The 26,793-nt window shown below is 50.4% G+C and overlaps 1 long non-coding RNA gene across 1 annotated transcript, besides 8 other annotated features; it reads right to left on the minus strand.

Annotated features, from left to right (window-relative positions):
- Positions 1-1,537: 1,537 nt before the first annotated feature.
- LINC01814 (long intergenic non-protein coding RNA 1814) lies at positions 1,538-25,497 on the minus strand. The gene is made up of 6 exons (NR_110257.1): positions 25,422-25,497; positions 21,616-21,752; positions 20,275-20,416; positions 18,616-18,846; positions 12,153-12,286; positions 1,538-9,656 (listed from the first exon to the last, which is right to left on the minus strand). It is a non-coding gene; the product is annotated as a long intergenic non-protein coding RNA 1814 (long non-coding RNA).
- Positions 13,626-14,205: an enhancer, noted in NCBI's record as "H3K27ac-H3K4me1 hESC enhancer chr2:8712051-8712630 (GRCh37/hg19 assembly coordinates)". NCBI's record gives its function as "activates a minimal SCP1, AML or CMV promoter by ChIP-STARR-seq in naive H9 embryonic stem cells {active_cell/tissue: H9 hESC(naive)}" and the evidence as "EXISTENCE:reporter gene assay evidence [ECO:0000049][PMID:30033119]".
- Positions 16,358-16,557: an enhancer, noted in NCBI's record as "active region_15270". NCBI's record gives its function as "activates an Ori minimal core promoter by ATAC-STARR-seq in GM12878 lymphoblastoid cells {active_cell/tissue: GM12878}" and the evidence as "EXISTENCE:reporter gene assay evidence [ECO:0000049][PMID:35858748]".
- Positions 16,578-16,627: an enhancer, noted in NCBI's record as "active region_15271". NCBI's record gives its function as "activates an Ori minimal core promoter by ATAC-STARR-seq in GM12878 lymphoblastoid cells {active_cell/tissue: GM12878}" and the evidence as "EXISTENCE:reporter gene assay evidence [ECO:0000049][PMID:35858748]".
- Positions 16,648-16,697: an enhancer, noted in NCBI's record as "active region_15272". NCBI's record gives its function as "activates an Ori minimal core promoter by ATAC-STARR-seq in GM12878 lymphoblastoid cells {active_cell/tissue: GM12878}" and the evidence as "EXISTENCE:reporter gene assay evidence [ECO:0000049][PMID:35858748]".
- Positions 25,388-25,757: a silencer, noted in NCBI's record as "silent region_11125". NCBI's record gives its function as "represses an Ori minimal core promoter by ATAC-STARR-seq in GM12878 lymphoblastoid cells {active_cell/tissue: GM12878}" and the evidence as "EXISTENCE:reporter gene assay evidence [ECO:0000049][PMID:35858748]".
- Positions 25,388-26,114: a biological region, named in NCBI's record as "NANOG-H3K27ac-H3K4me1 hESC enhancer GRCh37_chr2:8723860-8724539".
- Positions 25,435-26,114: an enhancer, noted in NCBI's record as "NANOG-H3K27ac-H3K4me1 hESC enhancer chr2:8723860-8724539 (GRCh37/hg19 assembly coordinates)". NCBI's record gives its function as "activates a minimal SCP1, AML or CMV promoter by ChIP-STARR-seq in naive and primed H9 embryonic stem cells {active_cell/tissue: H9 hESC(naive and primed)}" and the evidence as "EXISTENCE:reporter gene assay evidence [ECO:0000049][PMID:30033119]".
- Positions 26,115-26,793: an enhancer, noted in NCBI's record as "NANOG-H3K27ac-H3K4me1 hESC enhancer chr2:8724540-8725218 (GRCh37/hg19 assembly coordinates)". NCBI's record gives its function as "activates a minimal SCP1, AML or CMV promoter by ChIP-STARR-seq in naive H9 embryonic stem cells {active_cell/tissue: H9 hESC(naive)}" and the evidence as "EXISTENCE:reporter gene assay evidence [ECO:0000049][PMID:30033119]".

Here is a 26,793-nt window from a genome sequence, read left to right on the forward strand (position 1 = left end):
GCTGTGGACCCCTCCACACACCAGCCAGCCTATCTGTAGACCACACCAGCCAACTGGCCTACCCACAGACCCCAGAAGTCAGCCCACATGCACCTCTGCAGTCACTACCTCACAAGCCCCTACAGATGACACCCCATACTCCCCTGCAGGCAAAACACAGATCTCAGCACCTGGAGTGGATCTCAGCAGCCAGCTCAACTCTGCAGGATTGGAAGAGCATCAAGGGCAGACTAGACTAAGTAAAAGAAAGAATCAGCAAACTCAAAGACAGGTCATTTTAAGTTAACAATCAGAGGAGAAAACAAACAGAAGAATTCAAAAGAGTGAAGAAAGCCAGCCTGTGGGACTTACTGGACACCCTCAAGCAGGAAATTCTCGCATACATATTTATAAAGCCTAAAGGGTGCCAAATATGTTGACCCTAAAGAGGTCTGTACTGAGACACATTATACAGATGCTCCTCAACTTATGATGGGCTTATGTCCCAGGAACCCCGTGGTAAGTTGAAAATATGATAAGTCAAAACTGCAGGGTATTGGCTGTTTGCTCTCATGACTGAGTGCCTAGCTGGGAGCTGCAGCTTGTTGCCACTGCCCAGCATCAGGAGTGTGTATCCCACCACATATCACTAGCCCAGGAAAAAATCAAATTTCAAAATTTGAAGTATTGTTTCCACTAAATGCATAGCATATTGCTTTTGCACCATCTAAAGTTAAAACATTATAAGTAAAACCATTATAAGTCAGGGACTATCTGTATGTAAATTGTCAAAAGTCAAAGATAAAGAGAATTTTGAAAACAGTAAGAGAAAACCGACTCTTCACATACAGGTCAACCTCTGTAAGACTGTCAGCAGACTTTCAGCAGAAACTGTGGGCTAGGAGAGAAAGTGGGATGACATTTTCAAAGTGCTGAAAGTAAAACAAAAACAAACAAACAAAAAAACTGTCCTTTAAAAATGAAGGCAAGATAAACGCTTTCTTTCCCAAACAAAACTGAGAGAGAGTTTGTCACCACTAGACCTGCCTTACAGTAAATCCTACAGACAGTTCTTCAAATTGAAATGAAAGGACACTAAATAGCAACACAAAAGCTTATGGAAGTATAAATCTCACTGGTAAAGGTAAATAAATACAGAATAATACAATACTGTAATTGTGGTGCTTAATCTTTGTTTGTTTGTTTGTTTGTTTGTTTGTTTCTGAGATGGAGTCTCACTCTGTCACTCAGGCTAGAGTGCAGTGGCACAATCTCCGCTCACTCCAACCTCTCCCTCCGGGATTCAAGCAATTCTTCTGCCTCAGCCTCCCAAGTAGCTGGGACTACAGGGGTGTGCCACCTCACCCAGCTCATTTTTGTATTTTTAGTAGAGACAGGGTTTCATCATATTGGCCAGGCTGGTCTCTAACTCCTGACCTCATGATCTGCCTGCCTCGGCCTCCCAAAGTGCTGGGATTACAGGCATGAGCCACCATGCCTGGCCTGCTTAATCATTTTTAATCCAAGTCTAAAAGTTAACAGACAAAAGTCTAAAGAATAGCTATAACCATAAACATTTATTAATGAATGCACAATATAAATTAAATTTTGACATCAATAGCATAAAGTGAAGGAGGGGAGCAGTAAAAGTGTACAGCGTTTGTATGTAATTGAAGTTGTTATCAGCTTAAAACAGACTATTATAACTATAAAAAATGTTATGCAAACCTCATGATAACCACAAGAAAAAAACCTGTGGTAGATACCATAAAGATAATATAATCATTGAGTATATCATGACCAAAAAAATCATCAAATCACCAAGATATACAAGAGAGGAAGAAAGAATCAAAAGTACTACAAAACAGAAAACAATTTTTAAAATGGTCATAGTAAGTACTTAGCTATAAATAATTACTTTAATATAAATGGATTAAATTCACTAACCAGAAGATATAGCCTGGATATATATATAAAAAACAAGATCCAACTATATACTATCTATAGGAGATTCATTTTAGATTTAAGGACATACAGAAGCTGAAAGTGAAGGGATGGAAAAAAGATATTCCATGTAAATGGTAAGCAAAAGAAAGCAGGGTAGCTATAATTATATCACAGAAAATGGACATTAAGTCAAAAACTGTCATAAGGGACAGAGAAGGTCATTACATAATGATAAAAGGGTCAATTCAACAAGAAGATATAGCAATTATAAATGTATATGCACCCAACATCATAGCAGCTAAAGTTATAAAGTAAACATGTACAAATTTTTTTTTTCGAGATGAAGTCTCACTATTGCCCCCAGGCTGGAGTGCAATGGTGAGATCTTGGCTCACTGCAACCTCCACCTCCCAGGTTCAAGTGATTCTCCTGCCTCAGCCTCCCAAGTAGCTGGGATTAAAGGTGCCTGCCACCACACCCAGCTAATTTTTGTATTTTCAGTAGAGACGGGGTTTCACCATGTTGGCCAGGCTGGTCTTAAGACAGAAACAGAAAATAATGCAATAATAGCATAATTCAATACTATCAATAATAGATGGATCATTCAGACAGAAAATCAGTGAGGAAACAACAGACTTAAACAACACTACAGACCAACAAAAATAGAGCAAGACTTAAAATTAGACAAGTGGGATTGTGTCAAACTGAAAGGCTTCTGCACCACAAAGGAAGCCATAACCAAGATGAAAAAGCAACCTAAAAAACGGGAGAAAATATTTGCAAACCATATATTTGATAATGGGGGTTAATATCTAAAATATATAAGGAACGCCTACAGCTCAATAGCAAAATAAATAACCCAGTTTATTATACTTTAAGTTTTAGGGTACATGTGCACAACGTGCAGGTTTTTTACATATGTATACATGTGCCATGTTGCTGTGCTGCACCCAGTAACTCGTCATTTAACATCAGGTATATCTCCTAATGCTATCCCTCCCCACTACTCCCACCCCACAACAGGCCCCAGTGTGTGATGTTCCCCTTCCTGTGTCCAAGTGTTCTCATTGTTCAATTCCCACCTATGAGTGAGAACATGCAGTGTTTGGTTTTTTGACCTTGCGATAGTTTGCTGAGAATGATGGTTTCCAGCTTCATCCATGTCCCTACAAAGGACACGAACTCATCATTTTTTATGGCTGCATAGTGTTCCATGGCGTATATGTGCCACATTTTCTTAATCCAGTCTATCATTGTTGGACATTTGGGTTGGTTCCAAGTCTTTGCTATTGTGAATAGTGCCGCAATAAACATACGTGTGCATGTGTCTTTATAGCAGCATGATTTATAATCCTTTGGGTATATACCCAGTAATGGGATTGCTGGGTCAAATGGTATTTCTAGTTCTAGATCCCTGAGGAATTGCCACACTGACTTCCACAATGGTTGAACTAGTTTACAGTCCCACCAACAGTGTAAAAGTGTTCCTATTTCTCCACATCCTCTCCAGCACCTGTTGTTTCCTGACTTTTAATGATCACCATTCTAACTGGTGTGAGATGGTATCTCATTGTGGTTTTGATTTGCATTTCTCTGATGGCCAGTGATGATGAGCATTTTTTCATGTGTCTTTTGGCTGCATAAATGTCTTCTTTTGAGAAGTGTCTGTTCATATCCTTCGCCCATTTTTTGATAGGGTTGTTTGTTTTTTTCTTGTAAATTTGTTTGAGTTCATTGTAGATTCTGGATATTAGCCCTTTGTCAGATGAGTAGATTGCAAAAATAACCCAATTTAAAAATAGGCAAGTTATCTGAGTAGACATTTCTCCAAAGACGATATACAAATGACCAACAGGTATATGAGAGTGCCCACCATCACCAATAATCAAGGAAATGCAAAGCTACAGTGAGATATCACCTCACACCTGTTAAGATGGCAATTACCAAAAAAAAAAAAAAGGTTGTATTGGCAAGGATATGGAAAAGAAAGAGCCCTTGTTACTGTAGGCAGGAAGGCAAATTGGTGTAGCCTCTGTGGAAAACAGTATGGCGGTTCCTCAAAAAGTTAAAAATAGAAATACCACAGGATCCACTTATCCCACTTGTGGATATACATTCAAAGGATTTGAAATCAGGGTCTTGAAGAGATATGTGTACTCCCATGTTCACTATAGCATTATTCACGATGGCAGAGACATGGAAACAACCTCAGTGTCCACAGATGGATGAGTGGATAAGGAAGAGTTGATAGACACACATATGCACAGCAGGGAATGTTATTCATCCTTACAAAGGAAGGAAATCCTATCATTTGGGACAACATGGATGAACCTGAAGGATATTATGCTAAGTGCAATAAGCCAGAAATGAAGCAGAGAGTGGGATGGTGGTTACCAGGGGCTGGAAGGAGAGGGAAATGGGGAGATGTTGGCCAAAGCATGCAAAGTTTCAGTTATGCAGAATGAATAAGTTCTAGAGAGCTGATGTACAGCATGGTGATTAGAGTTAATGTATTGTATACGTGAGATTTGCTAAGATAGTAAGTAGACCCTAAGTTGTCTCCACATACACACACAAGTTAACTATATAAGGTGATGGATAAGTAAATTAGATTGTGGTAACCCTTGCACAATGTATACATGTATCAAACATCATGTTGTGCACCTGAAATTTATACAATATTTGTCAATGATAACTCAGTAAGCGGAAAAAATCTATGAATGAAATAGTCCAACTCATAGAAGCAGAAAGTAGCATGGTGGTTGCCAGGGACCGGGGGACAGGGAAACAGGGAGGGGTTGGTCAAAGGGCACCAAGTTTCAGTTATGTGTGGCGGATAAGACCTAGAGGTCTACTGTACAGTCTAGTGCCTGTCATTATCAATATCGTTCAGTATCTCATATTGTTCAGTATTGCATTATCAACATCGTTCAGTACTGTCTATTTAAATGTTCACTAAAAATATAGATCTATGTTAAGTGTTCTTGTCACAAAATTTATTTTTTTTTTTGAGATGGAGTCTTGCACTGTTGCCCAGGCTGGAGCGCAGTGGCACGATCTCGGCTCATTGCAAGCTCCGCCTCCTGGGTTCATGCCATTCTCCTGCCTCAACCTCCTGAGTAGCTGGGACTACAGGTGCCCACCACCACGCCTGGTTAATTTTTTATACTTTTAGTAGAGATGGGGTTTCACCGTGTTAGCCAGGATGGTCTCGATCTCCTGACCTCGTGATCCACGCACCTCGGCCTCCCAAAGTGCTGGGATTACAGGCGTGAGCCATACCTTGCCCAGCCTTGTCACAAAAAAATATTTAACATGATACAATAAGCAAAGAAGGGAGGAGAACACTCTTGGAAACAGTGGAAATGTTTACAGTGTAGATTGTGGTTATGGTTTGACAGAGGTATGCTTAGCTCCAAACTCATCAAGTTGTATACATTAAATATGGACAGCCTTCATATGTCAGTCAGGCCTCAATAAAATGGTAGAATACTAACAGTAATAATAAGCTGACATCTGCCATATATATCAGTACTGTGCACAGGGTTAATGGGAGTCTGCTCCAGAGAGCGGGATTTGGGATTTTGCTGAACCTGCATAGCCAGTCCGGCCCGTGGACTAGAGAAGTTTGCCTGCTGGCCTCATGCAGCTGGCTGTGTGATGGTTCCCACCATTGTCATCCAAACCAAGTCTGTCTGAGCTGAGTTGTGTGCTGGGTGACTTGCCTCCCAAACCTGTTGGAGGGGGCTGCTGGGTCTAGATCTGTGGGTTAGAAATTGCTGACACATCATCCTATGGTCCACCTGACACATCTCTGACCGCAGTGTGACAAGGCAGCCCGAATCTGAGGGCAGGTGAGTGCCCAGGCCAGGACCTAGGTCCTAACAGATATCAAGTGAACAGTGGTTCCTGTTCCTTCCCTCTGCCTGGTGGGGACACTCTCAGGGGAAGACTCAAGGCTGCCCCTCAAAGGCACCAGCATGCACCCTACAATTCTGCTTCATGGAGTCCTGAATGCTGGGCAGGAAATGGCATTGCCGGGGTGGGGCCATCTTCAGGGAGGGCCTCCACCCTCCAGGGGTGGGTCTTTGCATCTGTGACCAGCAAATCAGTGGCTAGGAGGACACCTGCGCTGGGGAATAGATAGAACCACAGTGGGAGGCAAGCCCTGGAAGACGAGCTCAGTGCTGGCGCAGGAGAAGAAAGCATCACAGGACAAAGGCGGGGACAACCCATGGCTTGGCCCAGGTTAAAAACCATCCAGCTTCACGATCAGCTCACGGACAGCAAGCGAAGTGGCCATTCACTGGTGCACCAGGAAATTCGGGGCCTGTCACTTGGTTCTCTCTGTTCTCAGAAGCAGGGGCACCTTTTTTCACATTTAAGACAGAAGAGACACAGAAAAATCAAAGCAAAGACACAGAGCGCGGAAAATGCCAGGACAAAGACCAGCACGTGCTCAGCATGAAGCATGGGTGGGCCGGGCCTGAGGCGACAGGGAGACCTGGGCATGCATTTCCCTAGAATGAAGACTCTGCCTACACTAAGATATCTCCTATTACAACTGTACAGTTCAAAAGGCAGAGGTACACAGCAAAACCAGTCATTGCACTACTGCTCACAGTAGAGACAATTTGGAAGCAACCTAAAGGAGCATTGAAGACACCCAGTGAACAAAATGTGGGACCCATACATAGGATGAAATTACAGGCAATCATAAATGATGTTACATCCGAAGGTTTGATAAGAAAACATGTTTCTAAGGTGTTGTTAAATGGAAAAGAAATGTTTTCAAAGCTGTTCATGAACTATGATCCTATTTGGACCAAAGGAAATAAAAGGTAGAAATGTGTGTCTACACACAGAGAAAAGAATGGCAGTTAATATTACAAAATATGAACAGCGTTTGCATCTGAGCACTGGCATAATGGGTTGTTCTATCTTCTCTTTTTTGTGTGTATTTTCCAAATTGTATGCTGAAAACATGTATCAGTTTTATGTTCTGGAACAAAATAAATGTTTTTGTTTCATCCTTCAAATCCCATGGAGTGGAATCCTAGTTAGAGCTTTCAAATCTTTTGCATTAAATCACCCCCTGGGTGAACTGAGGCAGCCCAAGCAGGTACGATTTATCTCTACTTTATGGCTGGGGAAGGCGGGGAGCAAGCTGAGACCATGCCCTGCCCAGAACAGATGGGTGCTCCGTGGCTCTCCAGGGCTCGCTGTCCACTGGTGCAGCCAAGTGCAGATGGGCAGGAAGCAGAGGAGGGTGCAGAATCCACGGCGAGAAGAGCCCCTCTGGCCCGGCCTCCCGTGCGGTCTCATCTGTGTCCTCCTTAGACAGGGCTGAGGATCCACAGCTCAGGTGCCCATCTGGCTCCCTGCCCTGTTCTGGGGTTCAGCTTGTGTCTAGTCACGTGGCTGTTGCACCAGAGGTTGCCAGGTGCTGCAGCAGAGCTTCCAGGGGGCTCCTGTGGATGACGGCTCTTTCCAGCAGGCTCTGGACACATCCTCCTCTGTTCCTACTCCTGGCTCTCCTATCTCAGTCCAATAAGGCTTACATCCCTGGGGTTCATCCACGGGCCATGCTGGGTCTCTGGGCAGTGGCTCCAGGCGAGGATGGGCCAGCCTGGTTAGAGAGCAAGGCCTGGGAATCTGATCCTGGCCAGAGCTGACTGGGGTCCAGGAACCCACCAGGAGAAGAATGTCTGGGATGAGAAAGGTGCCCGGCAGATGCACAAGAGGGCTCTGGCCCAGAACTCGGGACCCAGGCACTTCACCAATGGCCTTCCCCTCTGGCTAAGATTGGAAGCCCTCTGGGGGGATTGCAGAGAACCACCTCTCCACCCTGACCCAGGCCTAGAAGAGACAGCAAACTCCCAGGACTTTGGGGAACCAGCAGAGCCCAGGCTGTTAGCTGGGACCTGGACAGTCTTGGCATGCAGGACTGAGGACTGGTGCCCATCCGTCACCTTTTGCCCTGACAGAGTCCTCCAGCCCCCTGCCTGTCCTCTCCCTCCCATGCTGCCCTCACCTGCTAACCACGATGGGCCTGGCTGACCACATCTCATTCCCAGAAGAAAAGTCTCCAGAGGGAGAGAGTTCAGACTCCTCAACCCCACACTGAGGATGCTCCATGATCCCCAGCCAAGTTTTCCAAATTCATCCACTACACCCCAGCTATACGTTCATAGCAGCTTAAGCCTCTCCACAATCGGCCTATGTCCATCTGTCTCTCCCACCTTGACTTCTGAAGGGCAGAGCCCAGGTCTTATTCATCTTCATATCCTGCCATGCCACCTTGGTCCCCTCCCCAGCACATGACCTTCAATGTACCCAGGAGGCACTCATTGAAGACTTGTTCTATGGAAAGAATAAAGTTGTGGCCAACTACAGATTCTACTCCTAACTCTGCAAAATTGCAGTGCTGTTTGCTACAAAGAAATTTGCAGGCTGGTGAAATGTTCTCGGAGGATCTTAGACCATCGAATTTTTCAAGGCTCTTTTTTAATCTCCTTCAATTCTTGAAAAGACTCTGACCCTTTGACCATCTGCTGCGCACGGAGTCTGCTCTGAATCCACACAAAGGCTTCCCCATCCTGCCCAGTCTCCCAAGGCACAAAATAAAACCAGCTTCGGAAAATGTAAACCCAGAGCAAGGTGATCCGTCACTAAAATTTCCTGGGAGGAAGCTCACCTTCCGTGACCATAAATTGTTGGTGAGCCATCTCACCTATTGTGCGGTGCTCTCCAAACAGACACCTGTTGCCATAGCAACCCTCACATCTGTCGCTACCTTAGAAGAGAACACCTTTTAAAAAGAAATCTACTTAGCAACATGGCACATTAACTTCTGCACCTTCTTACGGACTCTCAGAAATCTAGGCCTGAGTACGCTAAGGTGAATGGTGCCTCTTTGAACAATCTAGAAGACACTGCTTCAGCCAACAGTGGTCCCTTCCTCCACCTGCCCCCACCTGTCTCTGGGTATGAGTCAAGGGCTGGCACTGCACACAGGGCAGTTACACAAGCCGATTGTTATAAAAATAACGCTACGGTTCAGGGTGTTTTGCTCACAGAATTTCACTTAGTCCTAGGGACAGTCTGTGCAGCAAGCACTGTCCCTGCGTTGGTGATAAGGGGCCCAGCCCCAAAGCTCCAGCTTCCTCCAGCGCAGCCTTCTGCCTGTCATGAGGGTGCAGCCACACCTGGCTCAGGGCAGGCCCTCCACACGCTGTGGATCTGCTTGTGTTCCCAACAACCCAGAAAGAAAGATTTTTTTTTATTATCCCTGTTTTACAGAGGAGAAAGCAATCTTGGAGGAGTGACGTATCTCCCCGAGATGCCTCCAGAAGTCAGCGGAGGCACAGAGGCTCACACTCCCAGCTCACATTTCACCAGTGGCTTCCAGGCTGCCTCCCATAAGCCTGAGAAGAGGCTTCCCCGTGTGGCTTAGGAATAAATTCCAATCTCGCAAGAACAGCCCTGTGGCCAGGCTGTCAACTCTTCTGGAATTCTCCATGGAAACATTTCTGCATATTGCAGGGGATGAAGACCAGGGAAGCAGGTAGCAGACGTACACGTGCAGGAATCACCTGCTGGATTTGGTGAAAATGCAGATTTGACTCATGGGTCTGGGCGGGGCCTGAGCAGCTGCATTCTAACCAGCTGCCGGGTGATGCCGATGCTCTGCTCCTCGGCCGCAATTTGACAAAAGGGACACGGCGCCTCTGTACAGAAGAACAGGTACATCAGGTACAAAGATGTGGTGTTGTCCCCAGGACAACCCAGGACTGTTGTGGACTGTGTGTTAAGACCTAGCATTGCTAAGGAAGCTCAGAGAGGGGAAAGGAGGCTGCTGGCCCCAACCTTCCGTGGACTGACTTCTGCACCTGCAGCCCTCCTGGCCTCTGGGCTCACTGTTAGTAGTGGATGTGTCTTCTCCATTTCTGATTGCCTAGTGCTTGGCCTGGTGCCTGGAATATGCTAGATGCCCAATAATATGGACTGAATCACAGCAAAAAGGGAGGGAGGGAGGAAGTAGGTGGATAGGTTTGATGGAAAAATGAGCACTCACATCAAGCAAGATGCTGAGGTGTGATCTATGTTGGTAACATTATATAAGGCTTGCACTTGCCTATGATGGACACAAAATGGATACTCTATGCCAAATGATTGACAGAAAGAACAGGCCCACTCACGTGGCTTTATGCATTTCTGTAGCTCCACAGGGTCGAGACCCCTACCTTGCCTATGGCGGTCTTCTAGAACCAGAGAAACCTCTGGATATTTGAAAGACATAAGGGGCTGTGTTGGTAAATTTTATGTGTCAACTTGGCTGAGTCACCATGCCCAGATATTTGGTCAAACATTATTCTCGATGTTTCTGTGAGGGTGCCTTTGACTGAGATTGATATTTAAATCAGTGGACTTTGAGTAAAGCAGGTGACCTTCCATCGTGTGTGTGGGTCTCACCCAATCAGGTTAAGGCCTGAAGAGGCTAAAGAGTGACCTTCCCCGAGCAAGAAGGAATCCTGCCAGGCCTCTGGGCTTGAACCACAGCCCCAAACTTTCCCAATCTGCATCCTGCTGGCCAGCCTGCAGATTTTCTGGAATTTACACAATTCCGTAATTTTGTAAGCCAAATCCTTAAAATAAATCTCTCTATATACACACACATGTTGTTGGTTCTGTTCTCTGGAGAACCCTGGCTAATACAGGGCAAGAAGGTGCTACACTCTGCAGCAGACAATACACTGCTCATCCCACAGGACACTAACGTGTAACACGTGGCCTTCAACAGAGACTGGGGAGTCACGGTACATCTCTAACCCAGGGGAAGAGGCCGCTGTGCCTTCAAACGGTGGCTGTCACACTCCAGTGTCAGCAGAGGTGCTATTAACAGGGCACCCATGAGGAACACTTCCCGGGATCCCAATTCAGAAAGTCCACAGGATCATATTTCACCCTGCACACCCAGTCCCAGATGAGTCCAGCATCCGGGACCCTCAGATCACATTTTGAGGGTGAAAGGGAAAGAGAAGGAGGGAGGTCAAAAGGGAGACAGCGAGGAGGGAGGTGGGGAGAGAGGAAGGAAAGAAGGGAAGGAGAGGGGCCGGGAGGAAGGAAGAGCTTTGTTCCTAGTGCAGTTTCCCACTCACCACTCCCTCTGGAGCACCCACCAATCTGGGTCAGTGCAGCAGCCAACCCCCGAGGGCATGGCTGTGATGCCAACTCCTCTCCCACGTGGGTGCCACCTCCCATCAATCTCCCATCACCCCTTCCCAGCACCACAGCCAGGCCACAGCCATCAACCCAAACCCCACTCCTCTGACCACCACACCCCACCCATTGCCAGCTGGAAAACTAGCCCCAGTGCTCACCTGGGAGCACCCTTGCTTTTCAACTGCCATACCTGTCTCTCTGTTCAATCCACGGCCCTGAGCTGGATGGAGGGTCCCGCAACAGACAGAATGGAATGGCCCTGCCATGCACCTGCCACATCTGCCACGCCCTTCCCGAGATGCTGCACAACACCCGTGTCCCCTCTGCAGTGCATGGGCAGCTGCAACTCCACTCTGTCCTCCTCAGGGTGCTCCCGGCAGCCCACAGGCCCCCAGGAAATGAGCCACCGGGATAGTGAGCCCTTGGTCATCCACCCAAAACACAGCACTCGTCCCTTTTCTAGCAGAGCAGGGTGACTTCACCACCCTATGGTCACCAAGCACAGGGCATTCCCGACCCTGCGATGGGAGCGAAACATGAAAGCCCTGGAAAAATCGAGTTAGGAGAGAGGAGGAGGAGGGAAGGGCATTGAAGACCATTTCCCATGCGAGAAACCACCCTCTGGACAAGGCAGGAACCAATTGGAAGACTCAAGCAACTCCCCAGACTCACTGGAACTCAGAATCCTGCACTTTGCAACCTCCATTACTGATTGTAAAAGTGGTGATATTTGTAAACAGCATCCTCACAGAAGGTTTCCCTTTGGTTTGTTTAATAATTACTGTTTAAAGAAAGTCATGACTTCATCAAAAAACAAAAACAAAACCCCAGATGCGGCATTTGAATAGTTCCTGGGGAAATTTAAGTCATGGAGAAAAGAAAGATCACGGGAAAAGAATCAACTGCATTATTTTTTTTAAAAATGGCCTAAATTAGAACAGATCTCAGGAATGGCTTCCTAAGATAGATTTCTGACAAATGAAAACACAACATGGGCTCACCCTCCTGGGAGAGATGGGGGCTCTGCGGTCGTGGTTGATGCGTTTAGTTTGTTTTGCTTTCGCGAAGTAGGAGCTCATTCACTCTTGATTCAATCCATCAGGAACACGAAAGCAGATTGTGTGCAGGGAGAGATCTACAAAACAGAGATTCCAGAACCTCAGCTGCCTCCCTTCCAATGGAGTCCACTGCTTTGAAGCTCTTCTTGAAGCACACATCTCTCTCCACCAAGGACCACACACAATGTGGTTGAGTCCCCTTCCACCAAACACCCTAAAACATGGGGGCCTCTGGGCCCCCTTAGGCTCCTGGAAAACCCCTTCTGAGATGACTTGGCAACTGGGGGCCCCGGGGCCTGGGAACCTTGGGTCAGGCACAGAGGCCAAGTGGCCCTGCAGCCGGTGCGGACCATTCAGGGCTGGCTTAGCGAGCGAGCGCAGGGCCCGCATTCACAGGCACAAAACCTCGCTGGTGGCACTGGGCACGCAGCCCTTCCTGTCGCCAGACGAGACTTCCTCGACATTGCTCCCATACTAAGAAGCACCGCGTTTCATTCAACAAACCAAGTGTGGATTTGATAGCTGTAGTTACTATAGAGATGCGAGGTTTTCTGCAGGGGAAGGAGCCCTGGCGGCTTGACCCCGAATCCTTCACACAGCCCACAAAGTAGCCAGATGCTCCGAAAGAAATGATGGGAGCTGGACAGGAAATGACGGCCAAGGCAACAGCCTTGCTTTCCCATCTGCGTCGAGCCCGCCTTTGTTTTGCCATCTTTTCACCCCATTTTTAATCTATGCCATGTTCATATATTGTGATATCTTTATAAGCCATCAGAAACTCTTTTCTTGAATGAGGAGAGAGGTGATGAAATACAAGAAATGGAGTGACCTGAAAGGAAATAAGCGGGTGGCTGCAGACTGACGAAGGTGGGAACTCTGGGTTCGCGGTGATGCTCCTGCATGCCTCTTACCTGGGGCCTCTGCGTTCTAGGCAGAGGCAACAGCGTCATGGACTTTAAAGAATTTCTAGCTTTGATGCCTGAAGTGCTTCTAGAGAGGTGTTCCTTTTTTTTGAGACAGAGTTTCGCTCTTGTTGCCCAGGCTACTAAGCAAAGAACTAACGTCAGAATTCCCTAGGGTGCCAAAAACACACCCACAAAACTAAAATCCACATCCCCAGGCCCCCACTGACTCTGTCTCAGGGGAGTAGGACCCCGAATCTGCACTTTCCCCAGGTAACTTGAGCTCAATGCAGCATGAGCACCGCTGCCCTAAAAGGCAAGTGCCCAGCCCCTGCCATCTGCCAGCAGCTGCCCCACGCTGACCGACTCTCTCCTCCCCACATCGAGGCCCCATAGGTTGGGCTCATGGCCTCCCTCGCCTCTCCCAACAACACCTGTGTAGCCTGGAAGCCACAGCTGTGTGATGCCCTCTTTCCTGACCCCTTGTGCATGGCCCTCCTTCTCCCATTCCCCCTCCCCGCTCAGGGCCCCCAGGGCCTTGCAGAAGTCCCACCCCAGCACGGGGACACTGTGGGGGCCCCAAGTGGCTCCAGGGTTAGTCACCTCCACTAGTCTGCCAGCTCCATCAACAGCCTCATCCTGGTCTTCACTGAGCTGCAGACTAGGCCGGGTGCATAGCGAGTAAATGTTTGTTGAACAAACAGATGGGTCTTTATTACTTTCCTCCAGGAACTCACTCACCCTGTGCTGCTCCCAACCCCAACACACAGCCTGTGACAAAACAAGGCCCCATGGAACCCTGGCTAGACTGCAGTTCGGGAGCCGTCTGCCTCTGGCTAGGTATTTCCATGTCTTTGAGTCTGGCTCCTACAGCAGCCTCTCTCTTTCTGTAATCAAAACGGGACTCATGCCGTGAGCCTCAGCTTAAATGCCACCTCCTCTAGGAAGCCTCCTTTGATTTCCTCCTATTCATTCCAAACATTTCCTGAGTGTCTGCACTCAAGGACTGCTGGGAAGCGCCTTGCTGCTTCCCTCCTCTGGCCTTTGTGGATGGCTCTTATTTTACTCCTGTGTCTTTGGAATTACATATCACACACATGCAACACATAAGCACACAAATACATGCACACACATGCACTCACACACACCCTTCAACAGACGAGTGAGGACTGAGTCTTGCTCATTAGTCCAGAGATTTACAGGGAAAAGCTTCCCAGAAAGGTTTGTTGAATGAAGAAAGCATAGAAGGAAACCAGGCTCACAGAAGGGGAACCTGGGTAAGTCCAAGGAAGGGAAGCTAACAGCCTAAGCCTAGTGGCTTCTCTTGACTGTACCCTTACTAGTGACAAAATCAAAATCCACAGTTGTAAATGCCACAGCTGGGAAGCACAGCCAGGTGCATCTGGCTTGGGAGCCCACACCCTCCCCACAACCTCTCCTGCCCCAGCCCACCTGCAAATGGAGCAGCAGGGTCTAGAGCTGGCCTCCCCAGGGCTCTATGCTAACCACAGCGAGGCTCTGCGTGCGGGTCATGCCAGCTGCCTGGGACCCACAGGGGCGTCCGGGGCCACTGAGGGAGCAGAGTGAGAGGAACAGCTCCAGCACAGTGCTGGAATTCAGCCCGCCCAGAGTCCATCAGCACAGTGCTGGAAGTCAGCACGCCTAGATGCCAACGTCGGGTTCTACCGCTGACTAGCTGCGTCTTGGCCATGTTATTTCACTTCTTTGTGCCTCAGTTTCCTCACTGGTAAAATGGAAAGAACAAGAAGAATAATGTCTACATTATGAGAGCGTTATGCCATTTCAGTGAGGTGATACTTGTGCCAGCTCCGCGAAGCCAGAGGCAGACAGCCTGCACTGAACGCTGGGGTGATGATTACATCAGCCACCACGTATCAAGCACCACCGTTCCGGCCCCTCTCTTATCCTTTGCTTATTTAATCCCCACCACTAGCCTCTAAGGAAGTATTCACATCCCCATGTGCAGAGGAGAAATCGGAGGTGGTTTGACTTGCCCAGGGCCACCCAGGTAATGAGGGGTTTGGACCGAGGATCCCGGCCTCCACAGTTGTCACATGGCTGTCTGCCTTTTGCAGGTCAAAATTCCCCAGCCAGAGCCAGGTCCCCCGCAGAAGCTGTGTGTCCTGTCTGCAGCGGGAGGCCAGGCCTGCCTGGTGCTCACATTCCCCAGGTGGACTGTCTGGGAAGAACCGCCACCCCCTGGGCTTGTGGGAGTGAAGGCCTGTGCAAGGTGGTGGGGGAAGGGCGAGCCGGACAGAAAAGCCCCAGGTAATGTAAATGGAAACTCTAACCGACAGCCCTGCACCTGGTGTTTTTGCATTTCCCAATCCAGCTGAAGGGATTGTGTGTGCAGCTTTGAGCTCACTCCTAGGCCGAGGTCAGGTGTGGCCTGGAGGAAGCAAGCAGTGGCCCACGTCGCGAGACAGCCGGTCTGCACCGCAAAGCCACTTCACGTCCCAGCCTGGGAATTCTGGGATGGTGCTTGTTTCAACCCTGTCCCTTGGGTGACCTGGAAAACACCTGGGTGTCACCCCCACCTCAGCTCTAAGCCGGTCATTCCCGGCCAAAGCAGGAGAACTCTCTCAGCTCCAGGGAGGAAGGAGTGACGCCTGCTCACCCTACAGACACGTGAGGGATTACAGGGAGGCCCAAAGCCACTTGTCCAGCTGCAAACTGCAAAGGTCACCCTCCGCACACTCTCTTCCCTGAAGCCCCTGCACGCCGCTGGGGACCGGAGCATGTGGTTCTCTCTAATGACAAATATGCGTGTCATCTACCCCCAAAATACAGCAATCGCCAGGAAAGCGAGGTTCCTGGAGCTGAAAGAATTTGCCCAAGGTCACACACAACCGGCAGAACCGGGACTTGCCAGGTCTGAACCCAAGGCTCCGGCACTTTCGCTGAGCCTATCTGTACAGGAACTGCAGCTGCCGCAGTTTAGGGAAACCAGTCCGAATACGTGACCCAGCATCGGCCACCCGCTAGGGCCGCCAGAGTGAAAGCTAGGCCCTGGGGAAACCCCAGACACACAGGAGGCAGGGTCCCTGGCCTTGAACTACAATAAGTAGGTGAGCTGGGCAAACTGTGTGCAGCTGACTGGAGCCGGCCCCAGCTGCGTGCAGACGGACAGGTACATGCTGAGTGTCAGGGACACAGAAGAAGGAGGGGGCATGCAGCCAGCCGGTGCCAGTCTGAGAATGCTGATGCCCACCTCAGGTTCTGGAGAGGACCTGTGTCCAAGGAGGAAGGCGGGCAGCCAGTCTTGCCCACAGCTAAGACAAGGCTCTAAAACACAGCTATGGGTGGGGACATCGGCCTGGAGGCCTCCTAGCCCCCATCGGGCAAAGAGCACCTTTCACAGACACAAATGCATGACTGTGCTGGGCAGAAAGAAGGCCTGTGACTCACAGGCTTCTGCATCCCTGCAGACATAGTGTGCGGGGAGGCGTTTGGAGGCAGCCTCCCCCGCCAGCGGGCTGGTCTGTGGTGCCCTGAACTGCATTCACTCCCCACGGTAGTCTGAGCCCCCTCCCCACCACCAGAAAAGGTATAGCAAGCAGTGCAATGGGTTGGCTCATCCATCTACCACTTCCCCAAAATAGATTCCTGCCCGAGGGCTGTTCCAATGCAGGAGGCTGCTGGATTGAGCTGGCCTTGGTCCATGCACCCTCCTATCAGTTAGAACCCTTTCTCAGAGGTGCCTCCGGGAACCAGATCATGTCACTGACAACTCTTCCCAGTAGCAGAAAGCTCAGGAGCTAAAAAGGCAAATATAGGCCAGATGTTGGCCAAGGGGCTTAGTGGTTGTTAAGAAACGATCTCTGATTCAACTCCCAGCTAAGCTCGGCCAGACGGTCATCTGAGTGCCTCTTCCAACCTGTCCCCGAATTACGTGTTCCACAGGCCCCATTCTCTTGGGGTCTGAGGGGTGCCCTCACCCTGAGCGTCGGGTCCCTGCAGTCCAGGTTCCAGTCTCCTATGGATCCCGAGTCCAAATGAGGGACTCGGTTCCCAAAAGAGGAGGCTCTTTGCTTGGAGAGCAGCCCTCAGCCTGCGCTGACAGCACCTCCTCCGTTATCCGGCGCACTGCCAGGAGCTGCACCCACAGAGGAAATGGGCCCGTGACATGAAAGCCCCAACAAAACCAACATCGGGTGGGTTATTTTTATCCTCCTAAAGATTTTTAGCCAAGACCCCGGCAGCTAAAGGGCATCCCGGGCTTTGAGGAGACTTCTCTGCAGCTCTCACTCCCACGCTCGGTGCCCTCCCTCCCCTAGCCCCCCCACCCCCGCCCCCGGGAACTGAGAAAGTGGATCAGGTCAGAGCAGAGCATTCCTCATTCTGCCATCTCCACGGGAAAACTAATTAGTTGCCAAATATTCAGAATGGGTAATTGCTACCTGAATTAATAAGGGCAAACAGCCGGCAAGAAAACAGTGGTTTACTATTTCTGAGCGCTTACCTCTCTTAACCCAGAGTCCAGACTCCGCGGGAATGGACCCACGTGTGGCATGAGGCAGAACTCCGGCTGGGGCTGCCGAAAAGGGGGACACAGATGGTGAGGGCAGCTCCTGCACTGGGGTCAGCTAAACAATGCTGTAGCGAAGTCACCATCTGTTTCCTCTTGCACACACGTATACACACACATAAACACACGTGCATGCACGGGCACACACAGGCATACCCCACACAAGTACACACATGCATGAACACATGTGCACATATACGCACATCACAAACAAGTGAGCACACACCAGCTACACCCTGCACACGTGCAGATACACATACCACACATTCACACTACACACACATGCACACTCTACACATGCCTGCACATACACCATACACACTCATTGTGCACACACTCCATACATCACACCACACATGTGCATGCACACACATTCACGTACCACAGGCACCAAACCACACACACAAAGCACACACACAACACACTCACACCATACACACACACTTACACCCCAGGAACAGCCAAGGGTTCCAAGAAGAATGCATCAAGCCAGGATCCTCACCCAGGGTCTTCAGCAAGTCACCCCAAGTTCCTCAACTCTGACAAGGGGGCATTTAGAACAAACTAAGAGTGTTGTAGGCAGAGGAGGAAGAAACGGAGGGAAAGGAAAGTTGAGATGACACTGAAGAGGAGAGAGACGCCTAGAAAGGCTGGGAAGAGCCTGGCCACAGCCCCAATCTCCACTCCTCCTGCTTCCCTGAGGCACAGAGACTTCAGATGCACCCCCAGAGAGGCCCTCAGACCTAGCCCAATCACTACCGTGCTGTGTGACCTCAGACAAGTCACTTCACCTCTCTGAACCTAGGCTTCTGCTGATGTAAAAACGAGATGATTCCGTGCAGTCATTTAAACAGTTCGAATACAATGCCCTTCCAGAGGTTTCAGTTCAAGTTTGGGGTCATCGCAGTTACTCCCGACCTTTCAGCCCCTCCCCCATCCCTGCCAAAGTACTTACCTTATTTGAATTAATGCTGACGACTCCACTGCCACAGGACTTCCCCTTGAGCAGTCAGCCACAAGTCACTTCCTCCAGGGGTGGCCATGACTCTCTGGAGCACCTCCAACCCCATGTCACAGGCAGCTTGGCCGAGAGAACTCCAGCTGGGAAACTCCCGTCCAGTCCACGCAGGGAATCTGGCTCTGCATCTGGGTGGGTGGCCTGTGTGGCATCTGCCTCTCTGTGAAGCTGTGATGGAAAATTAAGTGGGTTGATGATGTGCATACAATGTTTTATTTAACAATGTGTTGTAAGGAGTTCTCATATCTGTACAGAGAGCTGCCTCTTTTTTTTAATGACCAAACAATAATTCTATTAAATGTCTGCATCATAATCTATTCCACTGAATCCCTTTTGAGGGACGTGTTTGGTATTTCCAGTCTTTGACCTTTACAAAAGTTGCTGTGACATATATGCTTATATGTGCTCATTTTGTATCAATAAAAAGTCACATGTGTATAGATATCTCTATATATCTTTAAAGATTCCTATTTGCATGGAAGAACACTATACACCAAGTTATTAACCGTGGTTACTTCTGAGAGATGATTAGGGAAGAAAACTCCTTAAACTTTTTGTAAGCAAGTATTGCTTTATAATTTTAAAAAAGGAATGAGTAAGGGAGAAAAATAAAATGAAGTCACTCTTGTTAAACCTCTTAGAAGTGGTTTTATGAGCTGGAGTGGAGCTGGTAGAAGCAGCCCACATCAACACAGTGAGGAGAGCAAGGTCCCAGTGTTGGTCGGAGGGACCGAGAGCCACTGCCTGTCCTGGAGGTCGGCTCCCCGCAGGCTTCCAATCCTGGCTCTCTGTACTGACGGGAGTGCCCTGGCTGGTGCCCCATCTTGAAGGATTCAGTTTCCCCTTGTATAAAATGGGAAGGATAGGAACACCAGCCGGCAGGGCTGCTGTGAGATCGAGTGAACTAAAGCATGGGAATTGCAGATGAGCTGTCGTCAGCACACCTGTTCTTCCCTGCTTCCTGGTACATGGCACAGAACACTCTTCTCTCCAAAGAGAAAAAGAAAAATCAAATTAATTGCTCCTCTCCAGCCTCCTACACCTTGAGGAGCAGGTAGCGGGGGAGGAGGGGTGGCCATTTACACATCCAGCAGCCTTTCTCCCTGCTGAGGGCATTCCTGACGACACCAGGGCTGGCAAACATGTCTAGAAATCTCAAGATGGTTAATCATTGAGACCATTCCCTTGGTGATCAATAAAATGGCAATAAACCCATCAGCCAATATTATTTTCAAGAGAGACTCAACAAGCCCAACACAGAAACACAGCAACTCCAGGGTCCTACGAGCAGGAGGATTTTCAATCATCTCAATGGTGTTGATAAAGAGATGTGTCCCTTTGCATGGATGGGTCCTAGGTTTGGGTGAGGACTCCTGGGGACCCCAAGGGAGATCCAGAAGGGCCAGCGAATGCAACATGCAGCGAGCCTCACACATGTGCCCCACAGGGGTCCCCAAACCCAGACTATTCTGCACAGTCCTCACTACCCAGCAGGCCACTGAGTTCTTGTCCCAACTCACCCACTGCTGTGGGACTCTGGCAAATCAACAACTTTAGCCAAACGCCCCAGTTTCCTCATCTGTAAAGAAACCTCACCTTCCTTGTGGGTTGCTGGGAGGATCGATGAGATGGAGCCGACAGAGGCTCGCGACAAGAGTTCAGGAAACACCTGTAATGGCTGCTGTTGTGAACACATGGCCACAGGTCCCAGAGGGTTGTTAGGGTGATCCGGTAGCACCTGTCAGTGAGATGATGCGTATACCATGAAAAGCTGTGCTGATGTACATGCGCATGACTAAGGACTTTTGTACCCTCGCCAGAGCCAGCCCTGTGATCCTATCCAGAGGAATCCCTAAGGCCGGGATGGAAGTCACCCAGAATCACTGTCGGTCACCAGATGACTCGCAACTCCGTTTCCTCCTGCCCTTGACTGGCTCCCTCCTTCCATCTCCCAGCAGACCCTGAGCCAGGTACTCACCTGCCCTCTTCCTGCCCCAGAGTACATGTCTCTTGGACTCCCAGGCCACCCAGGGAACACCCTTTGGCCGTCTCTCAGGAAGCACTTTGAACATCTCAAGTGCCCCGCTCTGGAAAACACCAAAGACAGTGCTTCCCATCCCACCCTTAAACCCAGTGACCTGTAGAAGTCCAACTCCAGCCCGCACAGTGCCTGGTGGACACAGCCACCGCCTGGAAGCCAAGCTTTGATCAGTGACTTCCTGGCCCACCAGGCCCCTGGGCCCCAAATTCATTTCTCAGGCAGGTGAGATGGCTCTCCCAATGCAGGTGGCTGAGACAAATTATGCCAGGAATTTGCACATTTATCCTACTCAGTAAAGAGTTGCACCTCTATAGCTCTCCCCCCATTTTATTATGGGTTAATGTGGTTAAACATTTTAATTTTAGAAATAATTGCCAACAATTCAATAGCACACACTGGCTCCATGTCGCACAGTTCATGATTTCTCCATGCACTGGGACAGGAATATTTTTAGGCCCTGTTCAAGTTACCCACCCTGGCTGCAGATGAAATATTAATTAAAGGTTACACTTTCAGCCTTCAGAAAATGATTACTCAAGATAGCAATTATATTTTCCCCTTTTTGTATAATAACACTGCACCTTGCTGTGCAGAGGAATTAATAATTCTAAACCCTGTTGTTATAGAGGCAGCATCAAAGCTGAAGGAGGAGGCACATGCCCAAGAGGGGAAAACACAAACACGTTTAGACCCACAAAGAAAGTGGCTGACTTCAAAAGAGCAGGATTCTGCATTCAGCGCTGGGATCATTTCTCAAGGTCATTAATTGCTCTAGCTGTCTAAGAGCGTGGCCCAATTACAAAGAATACAGAGACACAGAAATTAGAACAGAACATAGTTGCAGCTCAGACTCCAGGTCACTAGGAAGCTCGGCAGATCCACAGCCTGGCATGCACCTGGAGCCCATCAGCCAACTCCTCCAGGTTCCTTCCAAGGGATTCAGACATCCGGGGCAGCCAACTGATTCAAGAACCAACAGTTCATAGCTTTCCAGGCAATTTCCACAGCGAGAAGAAAAAAGGAAGCTCAAGGCCTGGAAAATAGTAAAAAGAATAGCTGCCATTTATTGAGTGTCAACTATGTACCAGGAAAACTCAGTGAGGCAAGAATTCCAATCTTCACTTTATAGATAAAAGCACTAAAGTTCAGAAAGATTAAATGACTTGCCCAGGGTTACAGAGCGAATGGCAGAATTAGGACTCAAACCAACGGACCCACAATTGCATGAGGACTGGGCTGTGCCAGTCTCATTTACTGTTGTACCCCACAGCCTATCTTGCATTGCACCTGGTGCATAGTAGGTGCTCAATAAATTTGACTTATTTAATGAATGAACAACTGAACTTCTGAATCGATCATCCACGCTTGGAAGGCGAAACTCTGCTACTCAGCAAAGGAGACTTAAAAAAAATTGCGACTTTAAATGAGTCTCAACATTCAGGGAAGTGGGGTAGGTGGGGGAAAGGGTGAGCATGCAGCTTCGCACAGATCACTCCAGCAGGCACTCACCAGCACCACCCCCAGTGCACACTCGAATGTTCCCCTAGAGGCATTGTCAAATATTTTCCATACGACAAAATAGGAAATTAGTACATGAAATGAGTGGTATATGGTACGATAGCATTATGGCTTATGTTGTTCTGTGACCATGTGACAATCAGGCATTTTTCACGAAGCTCCCTCGGGGAGCCCTTTGGTGACTGTGTCCAATCAGGCCCTGACCCTGAGGGGAGGTCCCACGGTCCTTCCTGCCCTTTAAGCATGAGAATGGAGCAGATGAGAACATCCTTACAGCCTTTCTTTCTGGGACAAGATTGCAGGTGACACAGGAGTAGATACGTGGGCAGCTGTGCCTGCCACTGCTGGAGCGAAAGGCCAGACCAGCAAGGGAGAATCTGCTGACGGACTGGAGGTGGGCAGAGCTGCTGAGGCAGGAAACACTGAGCTGCCCCAGGGTCACCGACATGGGGCTTGAGGGCTTCCTCCTAGGGAAGGGAGAAGGAAAGTCTCCCAAGGGCCATGACAGTGAGGAAAAGGGCCCCAGGAGGCCAGCTCCAGAGAGGACAGGGACTCTCAGCAGGGTGGGAGGGGCAGATGCCTGGGCAGATAGATTCTTCAGGTCTGAGGTTTCTTCTGGAAATTGCAGTGCCACTGCGTACAAGTCAGCAGCTGGGGGCATCCTCCATGATCTGGAAGCTGGGAGGAGCAGGGCAGGATGTGCGGAGAGACTGTTAGGAGGCCCCACCTCCCACAGGGAGCTCACTAGCTCTTCAAGCAAAGGGTGCACTGGCATCAGGACTTCCTGCAAGCAGGCAGGCAGCACACCAGGAGTGCGGGCACCACCCAGCACCCAGGCTGGTGAGACAGCGGCGGAGGCAGCCAGCAGGAGGGAACTCACCTTTCTTGAGTGTCCAGCAAGGCCGGCACTGTGCTAGGTGTGGAAGCTGAAGCCCCTGCACTGAGGATGGTGCAGCCCATGGGGAGGGCAAACACAGAAACAAACTTCCTACAGCCTGAGTGCAGCCTGGGCCCCTCCGCCTGCCACCTCCTGCAGGGGTTGGTGTTTTCACAGAGGGCTCAGCTGAAGTGTCCCTGAGGCACCTTCCAACCCTGCATCCTATGAGACTGCCTTATCAGCTCACCCTCTAGGATGAGGACATCCTGGCAGAGACACTGATAAGCCAAGGCCAAGGCCACAAAGGAAAGGGAGGGGCCGATGGAGGCCAGACCTGGAGATGTGGGAGCCAGGGCACAGGGCCCCAGCGCTAACTTTTGACCACTGTGGACACACACTTCAAGTGCATCACCTCAGCAGCACTGGTCCTGAGAACTCTGGGGAGATGGCAGGCAGTCCTCTGGCTTCCAGGGTCTACTCATACGCTAAGCTCAAGATTGCTGGAGCTCTGAAGGGGCTCTGTGCCACACTGCGGGCTCCTTCCACTGTTTCGGGCATAGCACTGAACCCCGAAGAAAGTTCCAGGCCTAGTTCTGGAACCTCTAGCACATCCCTGAATTTCTCAGAGCTTCAGTTTCTTCCACTGCTCTGCCAAGGGAAGGGAGTCACCTCGTCACCAAGGCATCGTCCAGGTCTGACACTCCATGACTGTGATTCCATTTGGTTTCTTTAAATCCCATTTTTACTTCTTGCTTTAGCACTAAAGCAAACTCCAGGCACTAAACTCAGGAGATGGGCCCATCTCTTTTGCCCCAAGTCCTAACACTCCAGAAAAGGCATCTGGAGCAGTCTGTTCCTTCTGATGCAAAATAAATCCACTGACACTCATCCTCCCTGGGCACCCAGGCCCAGAGCCCAGAGAACAGGCGGCTGCCTAGAGGCATCAAGGCCACCAGCCTCTTTCCCCCTCCACTGCCCTTTAAGTCCTTCCCTGGGCTTGGCTGAGGAGGCAGCAGGGAAAAGAGGCACAACTGCAGGAGAAAGGAGGAGGGCGGGTGGACGTGGCCAGACCCAGGAGGCTGCAGGGAGCTGGGACTCAGCACAGCAGCCTGGGAACTCCACTTTCAGCCTCGGCTAAAACCCCATGCCCAGAGTTCCTCAAAAAGCCCCTCAAGTCCCTCAAAGGCCCCAAAACATGCTGGGTGCTGAAGACAATGGCCTGCAAGCTTCACATGAGAAACTGAGACCCTCTGTCCCCACTCTTCCAGCAAGTTGAGGCCATTTTCTAGGAATGGTGAAGTCAAAGAAGCTGCTCTTTTCACATTACTCAGAAACACGCACTACCCCCAATCACAGATGCCAGCCATGCACAGGGGCCCGTTCTGAAGGCAGGGGCAGGTGCACCAGCCCAGGAGCCCAGAGAAACTACAGCCAGCGCTGCCTCGGCTTAGGGAACCTGCGGCCGGCTTCCTGGGTACAGCCATCGTAGGAAAGAGGGCCTTTCCTCAGCCAGCATCCCTGCCCCTTCCTCCACCACCTTCCCTCTGTGGGACTGCTCCCAGGCAGACCTGGGGCCTCAGCCAGCATGGGCAGGAACTCCCAGAGGACACGGGAAGGACTCCTGAGGTGCGGACTGGAGGTATGGGCGCCTTGCAGCACAGGGCCTAAGAGGAGAGAAGCAGCTCAGCCTCCCCAGGTGGAAGGAGGCACCCCTTTCCTTCCAGGACAGCAACCTGTTGGTTTGTCCCAGGCCTGGTCAGGTGGGGCGAGGCTGCTCCTGGCGAACTAGGGACTCCTCTGCCCAAGCCCCTTCTCAGGGGAGGAGACCGGCATCCTACACACCCATGTCCACCATCCATGAACATTTACTGATCTCTCAGTAAGTCCCAGACCCTGTGCTAGGGTCCCTGCGATCACGAGCTCATAGACCAGATAAGCGCAGAGAAAGTTGTAATTAAACTACCCAATGCAGAACAATGACCAGCCCAGGTCAGGATACAGACCCAGGGCCATGGCTTAAGCAGCAGAGGGCCTGGGGCGTGGGCGGGGGTGCAGGGGAGGGAAAGGTCCAGAGAGAGGGTGTGACCCTGCAGGTCCGGCATAGCCAGGCATGAGGGCACTCCAGGTGGGAATGTGCCGCCCCAACCCCGGGCACCCCCCGGGGAATCCGGCGCCCGGTGACACAGGCCGCCCTCTTTGAGGGCCTGGATTGAGGAAGTTGGGGTCAGAGCTCCAGACTGGAGTCCCTCTTGCTGAATTCCCCTTCCAGACATCAGAGGCAAAGAGGAACCCTCATTCAGAGACCACCTGCACCAGCGCTTCCGGGCTGGGTCAGAAAAACAGGTCGTCCTCGCCGCCCGCGCCGGCGCCTGCAGCAGGTTCCTCTTCTGGGAGCCAGCACGCAGCCAGAGCTCCAGGGAGGGGGGTGCACCCCGGGGGTGGGACCCACGGGGCGGGGCCAGGCGACACCTCGCCCACTGCCGTGACTATGCCCAGCCCCAGCCAAAGCCCGCCCACTGCCGCAGCATGCCACGCCCCCTCCCGGCCCGCCTCGCAGGGTCATGTTCAAGGTCCTGCCCACCGCTCCTCCCACAATCCAGCCTCAGGGAGGGCCTCCAGGCTCACCTTCCCAGCCTCATTCCGCACAGCTTGCTACTCTCCACACGCACCGCCTCCCGTCTCCAGGCATACCAGCCGACCTGTTGGTCGCCTCTTTTCAAGTCCCCCTCATTGCTTAAGACCTTTCATCATTCCTAGGCCTGTGTATAATCTTTCTCTCTTTTACACCCCCCGCCCCTACCCTGGCAATCAGGGCACACATCGAATCCTGCCGGCTACTTTAACAGCTTCAGGCAGACCCCCATGGTTTCCTCCCGGCGAGGCACTTTGAAGTCCTGAAGAAATAAGTGTGAGGTGGTATGAGAGGGGCTCCTCGGTGACTTCCACAGGCCTCCATATCAGGCCTTCCCCTGCAGAATTCCATGGACCTCTCGGGGGTCCAGGACTCCTTCACAGCAGGGAGGCCCCGAACAGGAACCTCGGGCCCTGCCTCGGGATCAGCGGGATCAGCGTTCCTCCGGGGCTGACTGGAGAACTTTCCTTTATCTGCAGGACCCGCTGGGGTCTCCCGGGCCTAGGCTTCCCTCGGAACTGCATCTCGAAGGGCAGCTCAGCTCGCACTCCGCGCACCTACTGTGTGCTCTCTAAGCTGGACACCAGGAAAGCTCTGCGACTCTGCTGTGAACTCTGGGGTCAGTGAGACCCCGGGGTCAAAAGCTGGCTCTGCCGCTCACCATGGCTGTGACCCTGAGAAAGTTGTCTAACTTCCCTGAGCTTCGGTTTCCTAAGCTGCAAAATGGGAACAGCAATCGTTGTCTGTCTTGCAGCCTTGTTACAATGGCCGAAGGAAAGAGCATGGCACGGAATGGGTTCTCAGTTAGAGGCTACAGAATACCCAGCTCCTCCTGCAGGTGAAGAGCACCAGCTCTGAGCCAAATGACCTGAGCTCACACACGGGCTCTGCCAGACACTGGTTGCATAACCTTGAACAAGTTTCCTCATCTTTCTGTGCCTCGGTTTTCTCATCTGTAGAATGGGCATAACATGGTGCAGTGTTTCTACTTGGGAGGGATAAAAATGGTCTGGAAGTTGATAGTGGTGACGGCTGCACAACCCTATG

Source organism: Homo sapiens, chromosome 2 (assembly GCF_000001405.40).
Source record: "Homo sapiens chromosome 2, GRCh38.p14 Primary Assembly".
Taxonomy (NCBI): Eukaryota; Metazoa; Chordata; class Mammalia; order Primates; family Hominidae; genus Homo; species Homo sapiens.